This window comes from Homo sapiens, chromosome 15 (genome assembly GCF_000001405.40).
Source record: "Homo sapiens chromosome 15, GRCh38.p14 Primary Assembly".
NCBI classification, from domain to species: domain Eukaryota; kingdom Metazoa; phylum Chordata; class Mammalia; order Primates; family Hominidae; genus Homo; species Homo sapiens.
Genome location: NC_000015.10, coordinates 41515581 through 41517175, shown reverse-complemented (window position 1 = coordinate 41517175; position 1595 = coordinate 41515581).

Here is a 1595-nt window from a genome sequence, read left to right as displayed (position 1 = left end):
TTTGATCTGGACTGATTTCAGCCATGTTAGTTCAGGGTTAGTATCTGGGGGTGGGTTATCCCAGGTGAGGAGCAGGACTGCTGTGAGAGAGATGGGGAAGAATCATAAGTGGGAGGTAAAAACTTTGTCCACATCTGGAGACAACAAGAATGTGGGGCCTGCCAGGCACAGTGGTACACACCTGTAGTCCCAACTACTTGGGAGGCTGAGGCAGGATGATCACTTGATTCCAGGAATTCAATTCCAGCCTAGCCAACATAGTGAGACCCCATGTCTGTCTGTCTGTCGGTCGGTCGGTCTGTCTATCTATCTATCTATCTATCTATCTATCTATCTATCTATCTATTTCTGAGACAGGGTCTTGCTCTGTTGCCCAGGCTGGAGTGCAGTGGCGTGATCATAGCTCACTGCAGCCTCGACCTCCTGGGCTCAAGCCATTCTCCCACCTCAGCCTCCTGAGTGGCTGGGACCACAGGCAAGTGCCACCACGCCTGGCTAATTTTTTGTATTTGTAGAGACGGAGTTTCACCATGTTGCCCAGGTTGGTCTTGAATTCCTGAGCTCAAGCAATCCACCCACCTCAGACTCCCAAAGTGCTAAGATTACAGGCATGAGCCGCTACACTTGGCCTATTTTGGTAGTTTCTACATTGTTCTTTGGTCTGAATTCTAAACTTTAGGCTTTCTTAGACTGTCTTTTGCTGTGTGGATTACTTATTGTGTTTGCAAGTAACCAGAGTCAGAGCAGTGTGCCAAGGCCTAGCCCTGTCAGTAGGTAGAGAGAACCCAGTCTTCATAAATGGAGCTGCTGAACACAGAATTATCCAATAGGTTTTTTTGGGTTTTTTTTTTTTTTTTTTTGACACGAAGTCTTGCTCTGTTGCCCAGGCTGGAGTGCAGTGGGGCAATCTCAGCTCACCACAACCTCCCCCTCCCTAGTTCAAGCCATTCTCCTGCCTCAGCCTCCCAAGTAGCTGGGATTACAGGCGCGTGCCACCACGCCTGGCTAATTTTTGTATTTTTAGTAGAGATGGGGTTTTGCCATGTTGGCCAGGCTGGTCTTGAACTCGAACTCCTGACCTCATGATCCGCCCGCCTCAGCCTTCAAAAGTGCTGGTATTACAGGCATGAGCCACTGGGCCCAGCCTTTTTTTCTTTTTTTTTTTTGAGACAGAGTCTTACTCTGTAGCCCAAGCCAGAGTGTAGTGGCATGATCTTGGCTCACTGCAACCTCCGTTTCTGAGGCTCAAGTGATTCTCATGCCTCAGCCTCCCGAGTAGCAGGGGCTACAGGCATGCACCACCACACCGGGCTAGTTTTTTGTATTTTTATTAGAAGCGGTGTTTTGCCATGTTGCCCAGGGTGGTCTCAGACTCCTAAGCTCAGGCAATCCGCCCACCTCAGCCTCCTAAAGTGCTGGGATTATAAGTGTGAGCCACAGCATGTGGCCCCAATAGGTTTTATTAAGCAACTACTGTATCAGCAAATACCAATGATTCTCAAACTTTGTGACAAAAATCATCTGGAGGATATTTTAAAACAGATCACTGGGTCCTACCACCAGAAGCTGCTGATTCAGTACATCTGGGGTGAAAC